This window comes from Homo sapiens, chromosome 22 (assembly GCF_000001405.40).
Source record: "Homo sapiens chromosome 22, GRCh38.p14 Primary Assembly".
NCBI classification, from domain to species: Eukaryota; Metazoa; Chordata; class Mammalia; order Primates; family Hominidae; genus Homo; species Homo sapiens.
This window is the reverse complement of record NC_000022.11, coordinates 32,387,328-32,412,579: the sequence shown is the minus strand read 5'-3', so window position 1 is coordinate 32,412,579 and position 25,252 is coordinate 32,387,328. Positions and strand designations below refer to the sequence as shown.

Here is a 25,252-nt window from a genome sequence, read left to right as displayed (position 1 = left end):
CAGGTTTTTCTTTCTCAGCTGCTGGCGTTATCTTTTTCCCCTCCCAGCTGAGGGTGTAAACTCCAAGCCAATGCACCGAACCTGACCCAGACTCAAGGTGTTTTCATAAGCTGCTGAAAAGCATTTCCAAAACAAAAGATAACTAGATTATACTTTAAACTTCTGGATTTCGCTTAGCTGTAGTTTAGAGGAAATCGACTAATAAAGATCCTAAAGTTATACACTACAGGACAGTACAACTTAACCAGAGGAAAGACATTGGCCTGAAGAATTTTGAGCCTCGGCGCTTGCCGTTGCTCATCTGCTGCGGCGCTGGTCGCGCCTGCGCTTTGGTTCTTGGAAGGCGGTGCTCTGAGAAGCCGGACTACGCGGCAGCGGCTCTTCAAAGCGGAGCCGGGAGTTTTTGCTACAGTTTTCGCCACCATGAGTCGCAGCTATAATGATGAGCTGCAGTTCTTGGAGAAGATCAATAAAAACTGCTGGAGGATCAAGAAGGGCTTCGTGCCCAACATGCAGGTAAGGCAGGAGAGCAAATGGCGGGGCCTTCCGTGCTCCGTCCCCGGCCCGGCCGGCGTCCACTGCGCCCTCTGGACCTCCCCTGACCACTGGGTCCGCCCCGGCCCCTTGCAGAGTTTCCCTCATCCCGTCCTTCTCCCCTCACGGTTCTGGGGCCGCCCAACCTGTTCCGGCACCACCTCCCGCCAGGAGAGGTCCCCGAACCACGAGGACAAGCTAAGTGCGGTGGATATGGGAATCTAAATAAATACGAAATTGGGGTTTCCAAAGCGTTTTCACAGATCAGTCTCATAAACGTATCGTGAGCTGTTTTACGTTCACAGAAACTTCAGTGATCTTTTCCAGGGTGGAACAGCCAGCCCCAGGTTCATTTGCTGGGACTGGAATTCACCTCCTCTGAGTCATGCTGGTTATTTAAATAACGTTTACAAACCTTTGTTCACTAAACCAGGTTTTCAGCATTCAGTATCGCATGTTGGTTTTTAATAAAGCGATGTCATTTCTTGCAGTAGCGCAGGGCAGGGCCTGTTTGATTTTAATATTCACTTCACAGAAGGACCTCGAGGATCTGTCGGTGACATAGCTTCCTCTACCCACCTAGGAAGAAGCTCAGCCAGGACTTGATGTCCGGTTTACTTCTTTGACGTCCCAGATGGAGACTTGAGGGCTCAGGATCATCAGATAGTTTGAAAGCCTGGGCTCTGTATCTCTCGGCCTTCATCACCATCTGTGCTCATATTTTTATTAATGTGAAAAAAGAAAACGTTTATGAAGTTTTGCAACGTATTTTTAAATAGTTTTTGAAATCCCTGAAGGTGCCAAGTAAATGCTTCAAAGGTTTACCGTCTCGTCTCACGTCTTGGTAAACAGCTCCCAATAGTCACTCCATTCTTTTATTCAGAATCAAAGCTTACTGAGTTTCCCTTGTTGGCAAGTCACTTACACTGAGGGAAGAAAAAGCGCACGGGGATAAATCTGTGTTCTGTTTGCTGTTTGGCCACTTTCTTTGTGTGGAAACCGTTACCCTGAAGGAAGGAATAGAAAATCTAACATAGGGAGAGCGCAGTGGTTCATGGCCTGTAATCCCAACGCTTTGGGAGGCCAAGGCGGGAAGATCCTTTGTGCCTAGGACTTTGGAGACCTGCCTGGGCAATATAGTGGGACCCTGTCTCTACAAAAAAAATTTAATTAGCCAGGCGGGGTGGTGTGCACCACAGCTACTCAGGAGGCTGAGGCAGGGGGATCGCTTGAGCCTGGGAGATCTTGGCTGCAGTGACCCGTGATCATTCTAAACTGCACTCCAGCCTAGGTGACAGAGTGAGTCTCAAAAAAAAAAAAAAAGAAAAGAAAAAGAAAACACCATGACATGATTATCTGTAGGATCTAATAACACAGACTGTCATTGTCTGGCAGGTGTTCTGACTCAGCCTTTGATGCACACACTGCTGCTCATTCTATCTAGGGGCAAGTCTCATTTTGCTAGGCAGTTCTGGTTTAAGTTTGTATACAGCACTTTACTACCACCTTTCCTTTGGGAATAGAGACTTGGAATGTTAATGCATTGCTCTTAAAACGCTATTGACTTCTAAGCGTGAATTGTGCTTCCATATGAGAGCAGTGAATTTCACACAGATAATCATCTGTTACTAAATCTCCATTTCTCCCCCAAGACCCACATGTTGGACTAAAAATTTCTCTTTATTCCCTTAAAACACTCCCTTCCCATCTTTACGTCATTTTTGCGTTTAGTTCCTAGATGTTCTGCTGCGCCAGTGATGTCTCTTGTCTTCAAAGAACCAGCTCTACAGGATCTCTGTGAAACCTCTCCCAGCTCCCTAGACTGTTGAGGCACTTCCTCATCAGATTCTTCCATAGCACTGTGTACTTAATGTTATGGCACTTGCTTCATTGCACTCTGATATTCTTATCAGAATATAAGGGCTGTACTGGCTGGGTGCGGTGGCTCACGCCTGCAATCCCAGCACTTTGGGAGGCTGAGATGGGCGGATCATGAGGTCAGGAGATCGAGACCATCCTGGCTAACACGTGAAACTTCGTCTCTACTAAAAATACAAAAAATTAGCTGGGCGTGGTGGCGGGCACCTGTAGTCCCAGCTACTCGGGAGGCTGAGGCAGGAGAATGGCGTGAACCCAGGAGGCAGAGCTTGCAGTGAGCCGAGATCATGCCACTGCACTCCAGCCTGGGTGACAGAGCAAGACTCAGTCTCAAAAAAAAAAAACAAAAGTATATAAGAGCTGTATTGTGTACTGGGAGCTCCTTGAAAGGAAGATCTTATATTCTTTCTATCTCCCCTAGTGCCCAGGACAGTGCTTCATGCATAGTAAATCCTCAGTTAATGTTTGGTGAATTAATAAATGTGACCCTTAAGAAATTATACTGGAAATATTTTCCATCAGTGGGTATTAAATTGTTATTTATGCAATGGTGATGAAGTCATCTTTCTGATAAAAACTACATTCAATTGATTAAGTGTTAAATCTTTGGTTCTCCATTACTGGACAGCTCTTTCACAATATTTGACCTGTGATAAAAATGTTCTGCTCTTTAGTGTTACATAAGTATGTCGTCCATTGCCTTCTGTGTGCTGCCTCTATTGTCAAGCTTTAAAATTATAGATTTTTTAAAAAATTATATAGCTTTCAGAACTGAGCACACAACTACGTAGCTGCATGTTAAATTTTTCTTCTCACTATTTACCTAACTAGAGATTTGTAAGTCACCACTAGAGCACAATAAAATGTAATTTGCTATTGGCTTAAACACAGAATAAACATACTAGGTTAGATGACTACGTTTTATGTTTAGAATTGGACTTTTTGATTCATTTGGTTTTTTTTTTTAATTTTCAAAAAACCATTGATATTTTTGAAGCTTGAGGATTAAGACCTTTGGGCTTTGTGAGAGTATAGTTGGAAGATTTTTCTTTATCACAAAAAGATGCTGAATCTGTTGAATTCTTAAATGTGGTTTTGAGGGTATGAGAATAAACAAAACAATTTGTGAACATTGCAGAATTTTTCTTAAGGTATATTTTCCGATGGGAGCAGCTCGTAGTCTTTGATAGGAAGTTTTCTGTGTGCTTAAGGTAACGTGAAAGTGTTTGGTAAAGAGTAAAGCACAGTAAATATTGCATACAGTGCATTCTGTCCAGTGCCTACACTTGCCGCGCATGTACTCAGACATTGCTTTTCACTTTCCTTGGTACTAGGTTGAAGGTGTTTTCTATGTGAATGATGCTCTGGAGAAATTGATGTTTGAGGAATTAAGGAATGCCTGTCGAGGTGGTGGTAAGTACATTAGAGTTTCACTTGTGTTAGTACGGTAGTGCCTTCCCTGTGGCCTGAAAAAGTGGCAACTCAAATAATTATAATTCTGAAATATTGTCAAGGAGTGATTACAACTTAAAAGTAAGACCAAAAGCACTTACTTATTTGTGATCACATTGTCAGCCAGTTGGCGTTATAGAACGGATTTGAAGCTCCATCTGGAATTTGAAGCTGGGTAGAACTTGTTTCTCAGCTAACCTTGAACAATAATAGCAAGTGACCTACCATTTGTTTTGCACTTACTATATTCCAGGCATGTTACTAGGTGCTTTGCAGAGATTATCTCATGCAATACTTACAGTGACTCTAAAAGGAGCTCCCTTCCATCTTGCATCTCAAACATCCTTCTAGGCTTTGTTGTCTTAGTAGCCCTAATGACTACCTCTTCACGTTATACAGTCTAAAAACATGAATATAATTCATGCTAAAAATCAAGTGTGTTGTCTTTTCTAATACCCAATTTTTGTCTTCAGGTGTTGGTGGCTTCCTGCCAGCCATGAAACAGATTGGCAATGTGGCAGCCCTGCCTGGAATTGTTCATGTGAGTCAGAGTTCAGAACTTTAATCATTTATATTTCTTAAAGTCCATTGAATGGATGAATGGCCATGCCTGATAGTGGTGTCATTTAGACAATGACCTTTGGACAGCCAGACATAACCATGAAGCCAGGCTCAGTGGCTCATGCCACCCGCAACACTTTGAGAGACCAAGATGGAAGGATTGCATGAGCCCAGGAATTCAAGACTAGTCTGGGCAACATGGCAAGACCCTGTCTATACCAAAAAAATTAGTCAGGTGTGATGTCACATGCTTGTTGTCCCAGCTACTTAGAATGCTAAGTGGGAGGATTGCTTGAGCCCAGAGTTCCACACTGCACTGAGCCATGATCACGCCACTGCACTTTTAGCGTGGATGGCAGAGTGAGACCCTGTCCCTAAAAATAAAAAATAAAAGGAAATAACCATGGACCTAAAGAAATAATTGAATCTGGATGGTATTTCAGTTTCTGAATGCATTTGGCTAGAATCTGTAAGTGTTAAGAACCTTCGAAGTAGTTTTTGTGTTTTGTTTCTTATCATGGTAACATTATTCCTGGATCAGTGCACCACCATTGTAAGTTTCATTGTAAGTTTCACTTCACTGTTTCAATGTAAGTTTCATTGTAAGTTTCGCTTGGTTGTAAGTTTCACTTCCTATGCAGAGGATCATTGAAGAAGAAATGGCAAGAAGTTTAAGGGTTAGCACTGAGGGGGAGGAAGAGAGGACAGCATAGCCCCCACCACAGTTTAACATTCATATTCTATCAGAGGTAGATGTTGAAAATGGATCTATTCGGCAGACATTTTTGAGGTCTTCTTTATGCCAGTTACCATGTTGGGCACTTGGTAGAGGGAATGAAATGGTATGGCTTGTGTATATAAGGAAGTTGTTAGTGTCTGGGTATCTCCATATATCCTGTGTTTGACCTGCATTCTTCCTGGGTCAGGGTCCTTTTCTAGGCTCCACATGTAGGAAGTCTACAGTATTTATACCATCAAATGGATTACATTTGGCTGTGATTACTTAAACTAATGACCTATATAAATCAGTTATTTTCCTCTTCTTAACCTGACAAACCAAAGTTTGTCAGTGTCTTAAGATTATTTTTAAAATGTAATAGTACATTAAACTTAGTATGTGTTACTCCTATATCATGTTATTTTGAGGCTTTTCTGTTTTGTATTTCCTTAATTAACATTCAGATCTTATAAAAAAGTTTTTTTCTCACTGTATTTAGCTTTGTGATTAGGAGTTCTTACTATTTCCATGCATATAGAAGATTTTGTGAAAACACAGTCTTGATTTAGGGAAAGCTTCAGCCTGCAACCTGTTTGAGAATCAGTGTCAGGTCCATCAGGGCATCCAGGGTAGCAGGTCAAGACACTTGTATTTCATTTTCTAATTCTTTTTCAGCGATCTATTGGGCTTCCTGATGTCCATTCAGGATATGGGTTTGCTATTGGGAACATGGCAGCCTTTGATATGAATGACCCTGAAGCAGTAGTATCCCCAGGTAAGATCACTGTGGACATCTGCTGTTAAGTGTGTAGCATTGGCCGGGCACGGTGGCTCACGTCTGTAATCCCAGCACTTTGGGAGGCCGAGGCGGGTGGATCATGAGGTCAAGAGATCAAAACCATCTTGGCCAACATGGTGAAACCGTGTCTCTATTAAAAATAGAAAAATTAGCTGGGGGTGGTGACGCGCACCTGTACTCCCAGCTACTTGGGAGGCTGAGGCAGGAGAATCACTTGAACCCGGGAGGCGGAGGTTGCAGTGAGCCGAGTTCGTGCCACTGTACTCCAGCCTGGTGACAGAGCAAGACCCCATCTCAAAAAAAAATGTGTGTAGCTTCTCTCTATGGACCATAGCCTTTGTGAAACAGAGCACTTCTCTCCATGTGCATGACTCAGTCTCATCATGTTCTGTCATTTTTCTTTGATATTTACTGGAAGTATTGCTTGTGGATACTGAGAGGCTATTACAACTTCAAGCAAAGCATATTTTTATTGAAAATTTTGGGAGGCTCCTACCAAACATCATGGTATTCAGACTTTGGCTACAAAACAAACTGGCAATTTTTTTTTATCTTTGTAAATCAGTTACCTCGTGGACAGATCACGTCTAATAATGTTAATGACCACACAGTATTAGTAGCTTAGATGAGTTCAGCTGTGTAAAATATTTAGAACAGTGCTAAGCAGGTAGAACATATTCAGTAATACTATCATTGTTATTCAATGATAACATTGAATATACAGAAGGTTGCATACGCCTTCTGCTGTGGTTATGGGGTGCTTTCAATAAACATTCTATATCAGAAGTAATATCTTTGCTGTTAAAGAGTGTGAATTTAGAAATGAAGTTTAAATGACATCTTGAGAGTTCTGTTTCTAGCAGTGGTGGACTAGGTTGTTTCAGACCAATCCCCTGCTGAAAATAATTAGAAAGGCTGGGTAAAAAATTTTTTCTTAAATCTGTTTGAAGGCACAGAAAATCTGCTAAGGCAGTAAGAATTTGCGAAGTCAAGATCTAGAGGAAAAGAAGAAAAAGTTCCAGATATGTGAGCCCTACATGTAGGGCTGTTTGGAGGTGACTGCAAATTTCAGTCAGTAAGAATATACATGATTTGAATGATCCAATAACAAACTTGACACGTGACCTCTAATATACATGTGTGGTTGTGTGTGTGTATGTGCACTTGCATTGTAGTACAGCCAAGCAGTGCAGAGTATACATTTTTTTTCAAATGCACACAGTTTACCAAAACTGACCACATGCTGAGCGGTAAAGCAGGCATCAAATTTCAAAGCATTGAAATCATATAGACCAGCAGTCCTCAAACTTTTTGCACTCGGGACCACTTTAGTAATAATTATTGAGGATTAATCTCAGACTCTTATCAATGTTTACCTTATTAGAAATTAAAACACATTTTTTAAAGACAAGAATATATAAGTACATGTCTCATCCATTAGAACAAAGATGTTATGTCATATAGCTTTTGAGAAATCTCACTGTACAGTCATGGGAGAATATGAATAAAATAGACAAATAATGTCTTAGTATTATAAAATGAATCTTACACACCTGAAATGGTCTTCCCCCTCACCCCCACCCCAGGGTCTCTGGACCATACTAAAGAACCCACTCATATAAGAGGATATTTTCTGACCACAGTGGAATTAAATTAGAAATGGTTTAAATAAAAACTAGACCTAGCACTTTGGGAGGCCAAGGCGGGCGGATGGCTTGAGCTCAGGAGTTTGAGAACAGCCAGGGGCAACATGACAAAACCCCGTCTCTAAAAAAAAAAAAATACAAAAAATTAGCCGGGCATGGGGGCATGCGCCTGTAGTGCCAGTTACTTGGGAGGGCCAAGGTGGGAGGATCACTTGGGTCTAGGAGGCAGAGGTTGCCGTGAGCTGAGATTGCGCCACTGCAGTCCAGCATGGGCGACAGAGTGAGACCCTGTCTCAAAAACAAACAAACAAACTAGAAAAACTTTGGGAGGCCAAAGCAGGAGGATCACATGAGACCAGAAGTTTGAAACCAGCCTGCACAACATAGGGAGACCCCCATCTCTACAAAAAGTTTTAGAATAGCTGGGTATGGTGGCGCACATCTGTAGTTCTAGCTACTGGGAAGGCCGAATCCAGAGAACCACCTGAGCCCAGGAAGTTGAGGCTACAGTGAGCTATGATCACACCGCTGCACTCTAGTCTGGCATGATCTCAAAAAAGAAAATCCATATATTTGGAAATTAAGTAGTATACTTTTAAGTAACCCATGAGTCAAAAACAAAACTATGGAAATGAGAAAATAACTAATGTAAGTAGAAAATACTTGTGTCTAAAAATTGACATTGAGTTAAGTAAAGGACACCCTTCTATGCTATTGGAGGGAGTGTAAATTGGCACAGCCATTATGGTAAACAGTATGGAGATTCCTCAAAAAATCGAAAATAGAACTACCATATGATCCAGCAATTGCATCACTGGGTGTATATCCAAAGGAAATGAAATCAGTATCCAAAGAGATACCTGCCCTCCCATGTTCATTGTAGCATTGTTCACAGTAGCCAAGATACGGAAACAGCCTGAATGCATTATTCAACCTTAATAAAGAAAGAAATCAATCTTTTAAAATTGAAGGGAAAAGACAGGGAATCCTGCCATTTACTACAGCATGGATGAAACTAGAGGATATGCTGAGAAATAGGCCAGACACAGAAACGAAAATACTACATGATTTTGCCCATATGTGCAATCTAAAAATGTTAAACTCACAGAGAGAGTAGAATGGTGCTAACAGGGTGGATGTTAGAGTATACAGAATTTCAGTTTTAAGATGAATGAGTTCTGGAAATCTAATGTATAACATAGTGACTGTAGTTAATAATAATGTATTGTATTGTATTACTTTTAATGGCAAAAAGCACAATTACTTTTGCACCAGCCTAATACCTATAGTCCCAGGCAATTCAGAGGCTGAGGTGGGAGGATAGCTTGAGCCCAGGACTTGGAGGCTTCAGTGAGCTATGACCTAGCCTGGGCAACAAAGCAAGACCCTGTCTCTAAAATAAAATATTGTGTACTTGACATTTTCTAAGAAAATAAATCTTAAATGTTCTCACCAGAAAAACAGAAGGGGAAGTAACTGTGAGATCATAAATAGGTTAATTAGCTTGATTGTGATAATTACTTCACAATGTAAATGTACATTGTGTACACCTAAATATATACAGGTTTTTTTTTCTTTTTTTTTTGAGACGGAGTCTCGCTCTGTTGCCCGGGCTGGAGTGCACTGGTGCAATCTTGGCTCACTGCAAGCTCCGCCTTCTGGGTTCACGCCATTCTCCTGCCTCAGCCTCCTGAGTGGCTGGGACTACAGGCACCCGCCACCATACCCCGCTAATTTTTTTGTATTTTTAGTAGAGACGGGGTTTCACTGCGTTAGCCAGGATGTTCTCGATCTCCTGACCTCATGATCCGCCCGCCTCGGCCTCCCAAAGTGCTGGGATTACAGGCACGAGCCCCTGCACCCTGCCAATATATACAGTTTTTATTTGCCATTTATTTGCCGGTCATCTCTCAAGCTGAGGAGAAAATGATTTAAAAAATACTTATAGGCTGGATGCGGTGGCTCATACCTATAATTCCAGCATCTTGGGAGGCCGAGGCAGGAGGATCACTTGAGCCCAGGAGTTTGAGACTGGCCTAGGAAACATGGTGAAACCCCATCCCTACGCATAATACAAAAGTTAATCAGGCCTGGTGGCACACACCTGTAGTCCCAGCTACTCAGGAGACTGAGGTGAGAGGATTGCTGGAGCCGGGAAGTCGAGGCTGCTGTGAGCTATGATTACTCCACTGCACTTCAGCCTGGGTGAGAGAACAAGAACCTGTCTCAAAAAAACAAAAGTCAGCCAGGTGTGGTGGCTCACGCCTGTAATCCCAGCACTTTAGGAGGCTGAGGTGGGTGGATCATGAGATCAGGAGTTCAAGACCATCCTGGCCAACATGGTGAAACCCCGTCTCTACTAAAAATAAAAGAAATTAGCTGGGTGTGGTGGCGCACGCCTGTAATCTCAGCTATTCGGGAGGCTGAGGCAGGAGAATCACTTGAATGCAGGAGGCGGAGGTTGCAGTGAGCCGAGATCACCCCACTGTACTCCAGCCTGGGCGACAGAGTGAGACTCCGTCTCAAAAATGAAAAATAAAAGTACTTATGTCTAAAATTTTGAGGTCACTGTTAATGTCCTTTTTGAATGGAAACATGCAGCCTTAAATGCACAAATTGGGAAAGAAGAAAGGCTGGAATATCAGTGACCCTAGAAAGCACAACAAATTATACCCTAAAAAAGTAGAAAGATGGAATAATTAGGAGTAAAATTAGTGAAATGGAAAGATATGTTATAGAAAGGACCAAGAAACGCAAAAGTTGGTTATTTGAAAAGACTGAAAAAATTCATGAACCTGTGAAAACAGTGGTCAAGAAGAAAAGAGAGGCATATTTTGATCTCTGTTTTACATGTTACTCAATGTTCATTGCTGCCTCCCTTGTCCATAAAGTGCCTTTAGTGTGTATGTTACTTTAGATTATCTTGGTGTCATCAAGCTTTACTCAGCAAAGAACCACTTTGTTGTCTACTTTAAAACATAGTTATCTTTAAAAGAATGGGTATCTTTATAGTTCCATATTAATGGCGAGAAACTGCAGGTAACAGTGCCTTACCAGCTGGTTTTGCTAACTTTTCTCTATTTTGTAGGTGGTGTCGGGTTTGACATCAACTGTGGTGTCCGCTTGCTAAGAACCAATTTAGATGAAAGTGATGTCCAGCCTGTGAAGGAGCAACTTGCCCAAGCTATGTTTGACCACATTCCTGTTGGGGTGGGGTCAAAAGGTGTCATCCCAATGAATGCCAAGTAAGAGCACACGTTTCCAGTACATGGTATGGGAGGGATAATAACCACATGACCTTCAGCTTCCTTTCCAGTGCAGTACACTTGAGAGATGAGGATTGTTCAGTTACTTTTCAGGAAGTAGTAAGAACTGTTTTTTTAAGCATGAGGTACAGCCCATTTATTGGAGACATTAGTCAACCGATGTTATAACAGCCTTTGACATAGAGTAGTATTTATAATAACATCATATCCACCAACGTTTATTGAGCACTTTCTATGTGTAAGGTGCTGAGCATCATATCATTTCATCCAGACAATAACCCTATTATCTTCCCTAACTTACAAGAAAGAAAACTGAGGTTTAGAGAGGTAATAAGCTTAGTGCCAGGTGTGGTTGGGTTTACAGAATCCCAACACTTTGGGAGGCCAAGGCAGGAGGATCACTTGAGTCCAGGAGTAAAAGATGAACCTAGGCAACATAGATCTCGTCTCTAAAAAAAAAAAATTAACTAGGCATGATGGCTTGTGACTGTAGTCCCACCTACTCAGGAGGCTGAAGCAGAAGGATCCCTTGAGAGACCAGGAGTTCAAGGCGGCAGTGTGCTGAGATCTCAGTACTGCACCCCAGCGTGGGCAACAGAGTGACCCTGTCTCAATTAAAAAAAAAAAAAAAAAAACTTAGTAGGTGATATCAGGATTCAAACCAAAGATCCTTTGACTTCAGAAGCTGTATTCTGAATCCTACTGCCTTTTGTCATTAAGCCTATTTAACCCCAACCTTCCTCTTTGAATGATAGCACTGGATGTGTTCTTTGGTAAGTAGAGGATTAAATATAATGCTATAGTGTATCTCTCAGATGGCCATAGATTTTACCGTGTCATAGCTTATGCAAAGCAGTGCACCCTAAACTTTGCAGAGTACTTCAGTAGCAGAATAGTGTGCTAGCTATGTTTCTTTAATATTTTGCTTTATCCTTCAAATTTATGTGAACTTTGCATTATAATTAATAGAAAAAAATGTTTTTAGCTGTTACTTGTAATGTTATTTAACTCCCCCTAACCAAAAAAAATACCTAAGTAAAATCAATATACTTGGATGATGCGTGGTCTGTGATTTCACATGATCCCTGACATGCAGCCCCAATTTGAAAAGCATACGTGGAACACACAAATTCCAAACATCTTTATAAACATTTTAGATAGGAATTTTGTCTACTAATACTGAAATGGGTCTACTCTGGGCACACTGCCTATGGGGTGACCCTGCTCTGCAAGGAGCAGTAAAAAATAATAACAAAATGAAATAATGATAGTGAAATGGGCTGTCATCTGGGGTAGTGGGGAGAGAACATTGAAAAGTGTAGTTTTTCCTGGCAGTGTTTTAGAAGAGAGCTGGACCTTGGATGAAGATTAAAGCTTGTACCCTCTAAGGGTTTAATGTACGTGTACCTCAGCTTCAAAATGGAGGTGCCGTAAGCCACTCAGAACTTCTGTGAAGATGGGAAAACAGCTTAAAATTTAACCTGTGTTGCCTGAGGAATTCTAGATACCTTCATTTATTTGACCGTAATTCATAAATGATTAAGGTGTGTACCTGGTTGAATTAGTCGTTAGAGAGTGATAGCTGATTAAGGTTACAGAGTTGTTGTTGTTGTTTTTTGTTTTGTTTTGTTTTTGTCTGTTTAATCACTACCTCATGGAATTCAGGATCAGAGAGGCAAAACTGAATATAAAAAAGATTTGAAAATTAACAAGGAGCAGTATAAATGTCAAGTAGAACTATAATGATGTCTAATAGGGCATTTATCATTTTATATTGGAATTATTTATATGACTGCATTCCTCAAAAAACCAGTTACTGAGAGCTTAAACTTTGTATCTGACTCAAGGCTTGGAACACAGGAGATAGTAAATGTCGAGTTTTTCTCTGCCCTTTAAGGATGTGGTCATCCTTAGGTTTTGATCTGCCTTTGCTGTGAGATGACTAGCACCTTTTATACTTATCCAGAGACTTGGAGGAGGCCTTGGAGATGGGGGTGGACTGGTCCTTAAGAGAAGGGTATGCCTGGGCTGAAGACAAGGAGCACTGCGAGGAGTACGGAAGGATGCTGCAGGCTGACCCCAATAAAGTTTCTGCAAGGGCGAAGAAAAGAGGCCTTCCTCAGGTAACTCACTTTGGAGGGGCAACATGTTAATTTTTTTTTCATATTTTGTTTTTATTGGGGGAAAAAAATCTATATCTTACATTTAGCAAACATATTCCCAGGTTTTTTTATGGTATATCAAAAAATACAAATTTGTTTATGCTTCATTTTTATTCTAAAAAAACTATCAGGGCTGGATGCGGTGGCTCACACCAGCTTTGAGAGGCCAAGGAGGAAGGTTCGCTTGAGGCCAGGAGTTCGAGACCAGCCTGGGCAACATAAGAAGACTTAGTCTCTACAAAAATTAAAAAAAAAAAAAATTAGCCAGGCATGGTGGCACATGCAAGTAATCCCAGCTACTCAGAAGGCTAAGACAGGAGGACTGCTTGAGCCTAGGAGTTTGAGGCTGCAGTGAGCTGTGATCACGCCAGTGCACTCCAGCCTGGGTGACAGAGCAATCAGGAGCTTGCAAATGTTCATAAAATAAGAAATAATGAATTAGAAGTGAATGGGAGAAAAATAGAATATGTTTATCAGGTTCATACGTCAAAATTACATATATACATATTTTGACAGTCTACAGATGGTATCCATGAGATAAGAATATACTAGATGTTTGAAATTACAGCTAGTTGTGAAGGCTTTGCCACTAATTCAGTGTGACACGTGGGCAAGACTGTCTTCTCTGGATCTCATTTTCTTATGGAAAACTGGGATGGTTAAAACTAGGCAACCTCTAAAGACTCTTCCAGCACTGACATTCTCTAGTTCTCTAAATCATCTATTAATATTAGCTGTAGTTGTGGTATATGTTCTTTCAGTTATAAATAATGGTGGATGTCCATGAACTCATAGATGTTTCAAAATCATTTGAACTTGGACCTTGTCTAAGAGTCAACATTTACCAACATTTATCCCAAAATTTGACTCTTTGTGATGTTTAAAATATCCCATGAACCATTTAAAAGCTTGATTTTTTTTGTTTATGAAGCTTTTTTTAAAAAATTAATTTATTTACTTTAAGTTCTGGGATACATGTGCTGGTTTGTGACATAGGTATACATTTGCCATGGTGGTTTGCTGCACCTGTCAGTCCATCATCTAGGTTTTAAGCCCCACGTGCATTAGGTATTTGTCCTAATGCTCTCCCTCCCCTTTCCTCCCACTCCTCGACAGGCTCTGGTATGTGATGTTCCCCTCCCTGTGTCCATGTGTTCTCATTGTTCAGCTCCCACTTATGAGTGAGAACCCGTGGTGTTTGGTTTTCTGTTCCTGTGTTAGTTTTTTATATGTGTATACCAAGCATATAATGATATAACAAAATTCAGGAGCTAGTCTACGTTATTTTGTTGTGTAGAATATTGTAAATGAAACACTTCTATAGCTTAGGAATTTTTTTGTTACTGAAACACTATTTGTATGTTTATTTTGTTGTTAGTTTGTTTTTATCTTTTTGGTTTTTAAATAGATTAAAAAAAAAACTGGAATAAAAACTATCTTACCAGACATTTTTACATTTGCAGTTGGGGACCCTGGGAGCAGGCAACCATTATGCAGAAATCCAGGTTGTGGATGAGATTTTCAATGAGTATGCTGCTAAAAAAATGGGCATCGACCATAAGGGACAGGTGTGTGTGATGATCCACAGTGGAAGCAGAGGCTTGGGCCACCAAGTAGCCACAGGTATATTCTAGACTTTGTGCTAAAATGTACATTTTATGGGCAACCAGATAGAAATTTAAGAGCGAAAACTCTGAAATATACTGCATGGGTTTTATCCTGAGTCCTCAACAATTAAATAACTTGGACAAATTCACTGGGCCATAACTTTCTTGTCTAAAAAAATGAGTATAATAGTTATTTCATATAGAATTATCATGGAAAGTTAATAATATATGTAAAGCACTTAATGTTTGACATTAGTAAACACTCAATAAATGTTAGTTGCAGTTATTGTTATGTTTACTCTTATGAGTTACTATCTGGCCAAGAAAGAGCAAGAAATGTGTAAAGAGTGGAATTTATGAAATAGGCTTTCATTTGGCAGATTATGTATCATATACCTGCTCTGCAACAGTAGATGTGATGGTGGATTTGCTGATGAAAGAGGCAGATACTTTGCACTCAAATTGTCTCATGAAGTAAAGGTCATGTCCATTTAAAAGAAAAAATAAATATTAAAAGGTAGCAATTAATTATATAGGAGAGTCAAACAAAACACATTTAAGAAAAAGATTTTGGAGATGGCTTCATGGACCCAGTGTTGAGCTGGATCTCACAGTTTGGACAATTACACACAAAGACTGGTGACAAAGGCAGCATGAACAAAAGCAGGAAGCAGCGAAATATTGGATAGGTCCTTTTGGATAGCTTGGAGGGTGTGTGAAATAATGTATGAATTGTGACGGTTACTACAGGACTGAATGAAGCGGGATGAACGCAGAAATGAAAACAAAAAACAAAAGAAACTTTTAAAGAAGGAGTCAGGGGCTTCTTGCTTCTAGTGAGCTTCCACAGCCCTTTGTATTTATTGGGTAGAAAGAGCAGGGAGGAGGAGGTAACTATTGGTCAGCTGCTTGATTGATCCCAGGTTCATATTATTGCTAACAGGCTTCACATGTGCCTGTCACAAGAAACACTTGTGCCTGGGGCGTGGCTGCCCTCAGCATTCCTTCTGGGCAACAGACGCAGTTGTCAGCTTGCCAGCATCTTGCATTCATAAGAACAGTTTGCTGTTTACTCATAGCCTCCAGTGGTATACTGAGTTGTTCACGACCCTCATTCTTTCGGCCTCCAACAGCGAATCAATGAAAAGGTATATAGATGCCTGGAAATTGTTATAAGCTTAAAATTCCATGTTACAGATCAGCCTCTAGTCCATTTTATTGTGTGAGAATTTAATAATTTGTGCCAGCCTGACCCTCTAGACTATTTAACCTAGCAGATGTACGAAGTGTCAACTAGTGTTTCAGAACATTCCCCTGAGTACTTCTCTGCATTTTGTCATGGATTTGATTAATCATGAAGGCAACAAAATGTATTTTGCTACTACTATTCCCATGCATTCACATATTGAGAAAGGAGTAATGAAGACCATCTTGTGGCTATTTGTTTACACATCCCATTCTCTTTCAAGTTCCTAGAGGGCAAATGTTGACTTTGTGTCCCACAAACTGTCACTGCACTCTGAAAGATTCTCAAGTACGTCTTGACTGAGCAAATAGATGAACTCAGAAACACATTAAAGGGAAAGTTGGCTTTCATTGGGTTTTTTTGTGGAATGAATTTGAATGTAGCCTACCTTTCTGCAGTAAATCTGAACTGTTCATTTAAGGGAAAGCTAACTGGTTTGGACTTTGTGGCTCTTGTTCCAGATGCGCTGGTAGCTATGGAGAAGGCCATGAAGAGAGACAAGATTATAGTCAATGATCGGCAGTTGGCTTGTGCTCGAATCGCTTCCCCAGAGGGTCAAGACTATCTGAAGGGAATGGCAGCTGCTGGGAACTATGCCTGGGTCAACCGCTCTTCCATGACCTTCTTAACCCGTCAGGTACAGTAGAAGTTGCTCTTCTGTTCCGAGTCATTCATGATGATGTTAAGTGCTTTAAAACATAGTGCAGTCCAGGCTGGACACGGTGGCTCATGCCTGTAATCCCAACACTTTGGGAGGCCGAGGGGGGGCGGATCACAAGGTTAGGAGATCCAGACCATCCTGGCTAACACGGTGAAACCCCGTCTCTACTAAAAATACAAAAAATTAGCTTAGCTGGTCGTCGTGGCGGGTGCATGTAGTCCCAGCTACTCGGGAGGCTGAGGCAGCAGAATGGTGTGAACCTGGAAAGTGGAGCTTGCAGTGAGCCGAGATCGTGCCACTGCACTCCAGCCTGGGTGACAGAGTGAGACTCCTGTCTCCAAAAGAAAAAAACATCGTGCAGTCCAGTCAAAGCCTATGGTGTTTGGTTTTGGAAATTCACATAGTTAACTTTCAAAATACCAGAGAAGTGTCCAAGGTTTTGGTGTTGTCTTAAACTAAATCATCAGAGTATCAGGCATGAGAAATGAGAGCAGAGAATCAAAATTATTCCTAGAATTTGTCTTGAACAGCATAGAGAATAAAAGTGCCACTGACTAAGATTCAGAAGGCTGAGAAGAAGCAATTTTGAAAGGTGGGATCAAAAGTTGCCCAGCAGCTTTTCAACTAAAGATGAAAATGATGTGGTGGCATTTCCTGTGTGGTCTAAAGGACAGCTTTTGTCCTTTACGTGAAGATAATCTTACGGCTACTTTTGAACTTTTAAATCTTTTACTCCCTTCAGAACAGACTACCTGAAACCAGTGAGATGAGTCACGAAGAGCTGAACATAAGTCCTGAAGTTCTGGCTGCTTTTATCTTCTGTGTTTTCTCCTAGGCTTTCGCCAAGGTCTTCAACACAACCCCTGATGACTTGGACCTACATGTGATCTATGATGTTTCTCACAACATTGCCAAAGTGGAGCAGCATGTGGTGGACGGAAAGGAACGGACACTGTTAGTACACAGGAAGGGATCCACCCGCGCTTTCCCTCCTCACCATCCCCTCATTGCTGTTGATTACCAAGTACGTAGCTCTACGTTTGTAGTTTTAAGCAGTGGGGGCACGATTTAGATTGTTGCAAATGTGAATTACATTTAAAACGAAAAGCAGCAATTGTGAAAAGAAAATACTCTGTCACTCATGAGAACAGTGATTCCCAATCTTCTCTGAAGCAGTAACTCCTTCCCCCATCATTTGTGCTTGCGGTGGTGCCGTGTGCTATAGCAAGTGCTGCAGGAAGTGTATTTTACTCCACTACCGTGAATTGAGGCCTTTGAATTAGTGGAAGACAGGAGTAACTCAGTTACAGAAGACAGAGTAAACTCAGTCTGTTTCATTCCTCCTGTCCTCTTGGTGTCTGGCTGTGGTGGAGTTCGAAAGACCCCATAGTCTGCTTGCTCCTTTTACAGATGAGAAACCCAAAACAGAGAAGACAAGCACCTTGCTCAGGATGGTGGTTCTAGCAACACTTCTCTACACTTTTGGATTTTGCTTTGCTCTTATTTTGACTCTTCTGCATTTTTACTGGTCCTCAGATTTTCACTCTCGTCCTCTTCCTTCCCCTCCGATTTATCAAAGAATCAAAGTACTATCTTAATATAGTTTACTAGCCGCGCGTTTAGAAGTCTGGGTTTCTCCGGCCGGGTGTGGTGGCTTACGCCTGTAATCCCAGCACTTTCGGAGGCCAAGGCGGGCAAATCACGAGTTCGGGAGATCGAGACCATCCTGGCTAACATGGTGAAACTCCGCCTCTACTAAAAATACAAAAAATTAGCTGGGCATGGCAGCAGGCGCCTGTGGTCCCAGCAACTCGGGAGGCTGAGGCAAGAGAATGGCGTGAACCCAGGAGGCGGAGCTTGCAGTGAGCCGAGATCCCGCCACTGCACTCCAGCCTGGGCGACAGAGCAAGACTCCCATCTCAAAAAAAAAAAAAAGAAGTCTGGGTTTCTCCTACAATCCTACAGTGCAAGAGAAAATTTAAATTTTATGCATAAAAAGCCTATGTTTTTCTGAATTTTAACATGTTTGATTTATGTGCATCCTCAGCTCACTGGACAGCCAGTGCTCATTGGTGGCACCATGGGAACCTGTAGTTATGTTCTTACTGGCACTGAACAGGGCATGACTGAGACCTTTGGAACAACCTGTCATGGAGCGGTAAGGAAAACAGAAACTTCCTTAGAAATGCTCTCTTCAGTTTAGCTATGGTTTTCCATTTTGACTGGTAAATGTAGCTGATTGAACATTAACAGAGTTGAGACTTGGGCCTATCATGTCTTGTACTTCAAATTGTTCCCCATAATGTATACTATTTAGTGAACTGACTGGGGTCACCTAGTATCTCTGCCTCAGTGAGATCTGGTAGGGTTAGGGACCGTTTCTTATCTCTGCAAGTCCAGAAAATCCAGACTGGGAAATTGTCACACTAGCTGAGCTTACTGTCTGGTTTATAAGTGATAGAACTTTAACTGATGCAAATATCACAGTTGATCTCAGCGACTGACTGGACCTGCTCCTTTGTTTAATTTGCCCCTTCCTATTGTGTAGGTCCACGCAAGATTGGAAGGATAGGCCCTATTTGCAAATTAGAGCCCATGTACAGTCTACACACACACCCATTTCAAAACACTGCCTCTCATCTTCTAAGCCCAGGGGTCAGGAAACTCTTCCCATAAAGGGCCAGACCGTAAATATTTTAGGCTTTTGGGACCAGATGGTCTGTGTACCAGCTATTCAGCTATGCCATTTCAGTGCAGAAGCAACCTTAAGTACTGTGTAAATGGGCAATGCTGTGTTCTAATAGAACTATTTTAGGCCAGGCATGGTTGCTCACACTTGTAATTACAGCACTTTGGGAGGCCAGGGCAGGAGGAGCACTTGAAGCCGGGAATTCAAGACTAGACTGGGCAACATTAGCAAGACACCGTCTCCACAAAAACTTTTTAAATTAGCCGGGTGTGGTGGCACACCTGTAGTCATAGCTACTCAGGAGGCTAAGGCAGGAGGATTGCTTGAGCCCAGGAGATTAAGGCTGCAGTGAGCTATGATTATGTCACTTCACTCCAGTCTGGGTGACAGAGGGAGACCCTTTCTCAAAAAACAAAATAGTTTATTTTAAAAAGCAGGTGGTGGGCCATATTTGGCCCATACACCGTAGTTTGCCGGCCCCTTTTCTAAGCCATCCAGAGTGTTGAGCCAGTGTTGAAATGGGAAAGAGAAACTGTCTAGAGTACCTTCTCCTAGGACAGACCTTCACAAATGTATTTAATCCTACTTTTTTTTCTGATTGTTTCTCATTTCTAGCTGCCTCCCAACTCCTAATTTTAACCCAGTAGTTTTCAACAAAGGAGATCCCCCTACCGCCATGGGGACATTGACAATTTCTGGAGGCTTTTTTTATTGTCATGGTTTAGTGGGAGTTGCTATTGGCATTTAGTGGGTCTTAGAGGCGAGGGATGCTGCTGAATACACTGCGCTGCGCTGCTGAATACCCTGCATAGGACAGCCTCCCAACAAAGAATTCTCCGGTCCAAAATCTAAAAGGATATGATGAGGTTTAAAAGGCCTGTTACCAATTCGATAAAGTAAAAAAGATGTTTTTTTAAGCTCCTTTTTAGTGTGAGAGAAAATCAGGGAAAGGGCTTATCATCTTAGGGTTTAAAGTAAAGTTCATTCCTTTCCCATTCTAGGGCCGTGCATTGTCCCGAGCAAAATCTCGACGTAATTTAGATTTCCAGGATGTCTTAGACAAATTGGCAGATATGGGAATTGCGATCCGTGTTGCCTCACCCAAACTGGTTATGGAAGAGGTAAGTGAAATTTTGATAAATACATGAATATTTATTGTTCCCCATTTGTAATTTGTTCCAGTCTACAGAGACAGCAATTTAGGGTGTTACTAACAGAAATTGTTTGGGTTATTTTTTTTTATGACCTCAATTTTGGCTTATCTTCCTTGGATTAGCTTATTTCAGTTTTATGTTTTCATTTCTTTTGGTTAAAATTACGAGCCAAGTCCTTAAGAATGATTTTTACTGTTCATTTATAGTCTCCATCTACATATTAAGCTTTTCAAGAGTAGTTTGAGCTGACTCTTGTTTTTGCACAATTGTATACTTAGGTTTCAATTTGAAAGCAAATTTGAAAAAGGAAGGCATAAATGTTTGGAGAAAGTTTTATTTGATTCACAGGAGAACAGATTTTGTTTAAATTCTGTATATATGTTTACATATATGTACATATTTAAATTAAAAGCAATATAATTCCTTAATGATTTAAGAGAAAAGAAAAACAGTCATCCAAAAACTCAATGCCCTGACACAGTTATTACCTTATCTTTTAGAATACTTATTATTGTCGGCCGGGCGTGGTGGCTCACGCCTGTAATCACAGCATTTTGGGAGGCCGAGGTGGGCAGATCACATGAGGTCAGGAGTTTGAGACCAGCCTGATCAACATGGTGAAACCCCTACTAAAAATACAAAAATTAGCTGGGCATGGTGGTGGACACCCATAATCGCAGCTACTCAGGAGGCCGAGACAGGAAAATCACTTGAATCCGGGAGGCAGAGGTTGCAGTGAGCCAAGATCATGCCACTGCACTCCAGCCTAGATGACAAAGTAAGACTCCGTCTCAAAAAAAAAAAAAAAAAATTTACTTATTGTCATAGTTTTTTCCTAAATGCTTTTTTTAAAGCTAGTCTTAATTATAGTTAAGAAACATTCTGTAGTTATTTTTAAAATTTTGCACATTATTATAAAATTGTTTGTGTCACTTTTTAAAATCATTGCTGAATATTCCACCAGCTGAGTACCTTACTTTCTGCCTGTAGTGGACATTTAAGTAGCTTCCAAATTTTTGCTACTATAAATTAAATTGTAATGAGTGTCTTCATGCATGAAGGTTTTTTCCAGTTGTTATAGTAATTAGAACAAAGTCTCAAAAGTGGAGTTACATGGTGGCTCATGCCTATAATCCCAGTACTTTGGGAGGCCAATGCAGGAAGATCTCTTGAGGCCAGGAGTTCAAGATTAGTTTGGCCAAAGATTAGCCAGGTGTAGTCCTAGCAACTCAGGAGACTGAAGCTGGAGGATTGCTTGAGCCCAGGACCTTGAGGTTACAGTAAGCTATGTGATTGTCCAGACTTGGTGCAAAGCAAGACCCTATCTCTAAAAAAAAATAAGGAAAAAAAGTGGAATTACTGAGTCAGAGTATGACAAAGACTTATTTTTTTTAATAACAATTCATTTTTCCCCTGATCTTAAGAATACATGGTTAATTTAAAAGATTTGGAATATACTGGCCAGGTGCAGTGGCTCAGGCCTGTAATCCCAGCATTTTGGGAGGCTGAGGCGGGTGGATCACAAGGTGAGGAGATCAAGACCATCCTGGCTAACACGGTGAAACCCCATCTCTACTAAAAATACAAAAAATTAGCCGGGCGTGGTGGCGGGCGCCTGTAGCTCTAGCTACTCGGGAGGCTGAGGCAGGAGAACGGCGTGAACGCGGGAGGCGGAGCTTGCAGTGAGCCGAGATCGCGCTACTGCACTCCAGCCTGGGCGACAGAGCAACACTCCATCTCAAAAAAAAAAAAAGGATTTGGAAAATACAAAGGAGAAAACAGAAAACATTTAGAATTCAATCAGCCAGAAATAATTACAGTTAAAATTTGGATTTTTGGTTTTTTGGTTTTGTTTTGTTTTTTCACCTGCAACACGTGATTATTTGATTCACTTACTCAGCTAACACGTACTAACCATCCGCTATAGTTAGGTACTGTTCTATATGCTAGAGATACTGCAGTGAACAAAAGAAACACGAGTCCCTTCGTTGTGGAGCTTTCCAAATAATAAAACATACAGTGTGTTAATGACCATGCAAGTTCTATGAAATAAAAAGCAGGGAAAGGTGGTAAGGAAAGGTGGGAAGGGGTACAGTTTTAAGCAGGTGGTCGGAGAAGACTTCAGTGAGGTGACAGTAGAGCAAAGACCTGAAGAGAGAGAGGAAACAGGCTACCTGGGCATCTGGAGGTGAGCTTTCGAGGCAGAGAGAACAGCAAGCGCAAAATCTGTGAGCTGAGGTTATGAAGGAGTGTTCAAGAAACAGCAAGGAGGCCAGGCATGACAAGAGCAAGCCAGAGGGAGATGAGGTCAGAGAGGTAGGGGGCGCCAGAGCATTTGGACTTTTGCTTTTACTCTGATTAAAATGAAAAAACCTTGGAGGATTTTGAGCAGAATAGTGACGTGATCTGACAAATGTGTTTGCATGTTGATGAGAAGAATCTACAAGAGAAATTAATGATGCAGAAAAGAGGGAGGAAATTGCTGGAGAAGTGTCCTTGAATAGATGAGAGGAGATAGAGTCTGATGTACAAGTGGATGGGGTTGGTCTTTGCTAGGAGCACAGATAATTCATCCTTTATAAAAGGAGAGAAGAAGCTGAGCACAGTGGCTCACACCTGTAATCCCAGCACTTTCGGGAGGCTGAGGTGAGAGTATCGCTTAAAGCCAGGAGTTTGAGACCAGCCTGAGCTACAAAGCAAGACCCCATCTCTACAAAAATAAAAAAAATTAGGCACAGTGGCACATGCCTGTAGTCTCAGTGAGCTATGATTGTGCCACTGGACTCAACCTTGGGTGACAGAGTAAAAAAATAAAAGGAGAGAAGGTATAGATACAGATATGTGGGGAAGATAAAGTTAGCATGTTTATGAATATTCTGGCTGCTTCTATTTTTTTCAGTGTATTACATAGTAAGGTCAGCAAGTGAGAGTGGGATCTGAGAAAAGGTATGAAATATTCATCTAGGGGAGAGACAGTCATTGGCCCAGTGGAATTTCATCTGATTGCCAGGAGCTAGAAATCGCCAAGTAGTACTGGGGAGTGATTCAGGCTCCCACAGATAACTACAGCCAAAGGTAGTTTGTGGTACGATGTAATGACTGCAAGATTCAAAACTAGGAGTGCCTAGGGAGAACGGGAGAATAGAAACAACCATGAAAGCCAGGAGCACACCTGTCCCACTTCTGGGACCAATGGCATGACCTGATTTGGGGAAAACAGCAGTCACCATTCAGAAAGTTGGAGATGAAAGTGGTATCCTCGGGAAAGATCCGTGTTTCAGTAAAACAAGAAGGTGAAGGGAACATTCAAAGAAGAAGGGAGGGAGGGGATTTTGCTCCTTCTGGAAGGAGTTCCAGAGGCCACAGTGGGAAAGTTTCAGAAACTGGAAGGGAATGGGAGATGGGATAGAAAAGGATATTATGTACAGAACCGTACGGGAATCAGCATGGATGGCCTAAGCTTGTATTGACAGGAATGAAGATAAAGTGAGTGTGTGATGAGATTAGTGCTAATGGTGGCAAGGCTGTGTGGGTAGGATGGAATGGTGGGAATGTTGCTGGAAAGTCACAGAAATTGTCTGTGAGTGTAGGTACACATAGATACCCACATATACATGTGCACACAGTTTTACTTTGTTTTATACATATATGAATTTTATAACTTACTGTGAAGGTACTACATGTTCATTCCAGAAATTTTGATAACTGCAGAAATATATAAAGGAAGAAAATTAAAATTGCCAGTAATTCTACCATCAAGAGATAATTATCACTAACATATGATGGTTGGGTGCCGTTTCTTCCAATCAGGTTCTGGTGTGTGTTTTATTTACTTACATTTACTACATTTCCTAGTTATACAAGTAATACATGTTCTTTAAAGACATTTTGAAAAATACAGAAAAAAAAAAAGGTGAAAGTGTTTTGGAAATCAGCACTGACCAACATCAGGCTTACTTCTTTTTTAAATTTTTGCTAATTTCATAGGCAAAAAAAAACTCTCTGTATTATTTTAGTGTGCATTTATTTCATCACAAGTGAAGTTTGGTGCTTGTAAAGACTGTGTTTTCAGTGGACTTGTACAATGTTTAAATTCCTCTCCTGCAGGCTCCTGAGTCCTATAAGAATGTGACAGATGTGGTAAATACCTGCCATGATGCTGGAATCAGCAAGAAAGCCATTAAACTGAGACCAATTGCTGTGATCAAAGGATAGAACCTTGGACAGCAGGGCTGCCTGACACCACCAACCCTCTCTGAAGTGGAAGTGGACTGACATGCTCTTCTGACATCAGACTCAAGGCGGGACAAGTTGCAAAGTGTGCAGCTGTAACTGCTCACGCCAAAATGGCTGATGGGGAGGCTGCTGCTTTCAGGGGCCCGTGCTTGTAAAATAACCTTCCAGGAAGAGGCACATTGCCCACCTTTGGAAAGGGAGGAATATGCCTTCTCCTTGGTTGTTCCACAGAGTTTTAGGAAAATCTGTTAGGGATGGGTAGATGTCAAACTGCCTTACGCAGTCATACTGATCTTTAGCCATCAGATTGATCTTCTTCACACCAAGCTCTGTTTACATTCCGAGAGGTGTCATGAAGAAAGTTCTGTTCAATAAGGTTTTGGAATGTTTCCTTTCGTCTGTTGCTTTGTCAGTTTGTCCATTCATCCACCCATTTAGGCATCACCCCTGCACTCAGCAAAACCCTAAATACCCCTCTTACTTGGAGAGCACCCAGGGAGTTGTAATCAGGCTGTTAGATGAATGGATAGTGGAACACATTGAAGAGGGAGTATGGGGAGGTTTAAGGAATAGCGGCCCAAAAGACAAAGTCTTCATAGCTTTACTACCTTTCTTATTCTAAATACACGGCAGAGTTTTTGTA

The 25,252-nt window shown here is 41.4% G+C and overlaps 1 protein-coding gene across 1 annotated transcript, besides 2 other annotated features; it reads left to right on the top strand.

The window, feature by feature from the left end:
• Positions 184-363: an enhancer, noted in NCBI's record as "active region_18876". NCBI's record gives its function as "activates an Ori minimal core promoter by ATAC-STARR-seq in GM12878 lymphoblastoid cells {active_cell/tissue: GM12878}" and the evidence as "EXISTENCE:reporter gene assay evidence [ECO:0000049][PMID:35858748]".
• On the top strand, positions 333-24,998 carry RTCB (RNA 2',3'-cyclic phosphate and 5'-OH ligase). The gene is made up of 12 exons (NM_014306.5): positions 333-516; positions 3,747-3,825; positions 4,338-4,405; positions 5,819-5,918; positions 10,677-10,833; positions 12,821-12,977; positions 14,480-14,639; positions 16,331-16,506; positions 17,366-17,554; positions 18,578-18,688; positions 20,221-20,340; positions 24,481-24,998. Exons 1-12 carry the CDS (start codon positions 424-426, stop codon positions 24,586-24,588), a joined length of 1,518 nt encoding a protein of 505 aa, NP_055121.1. The 5' UTR covers positions 333-423; the 3' UTR covers positions 24,589-24,998.
• Positions 17,720-17,917: a silencer, noted in NCBI's record as "fragment chr22:32790650-32790847 (GRCh37/hg19 assembly coordinates)". NCBI's record gives its function as "represses an EF-1alpha promoter that drives an FKBP-Casp9 reporter gene in an ReSE screen in phorbol 12-myristate 13-acetate-treated (for megakaryocytic differentiation) K562 erythroleukemia cells {active_cell/tissue: K562(+PMA)}" and the evidence as "EXISTENCE:reporter gene assay evidence [ECO:0000049][PMID:32094911]".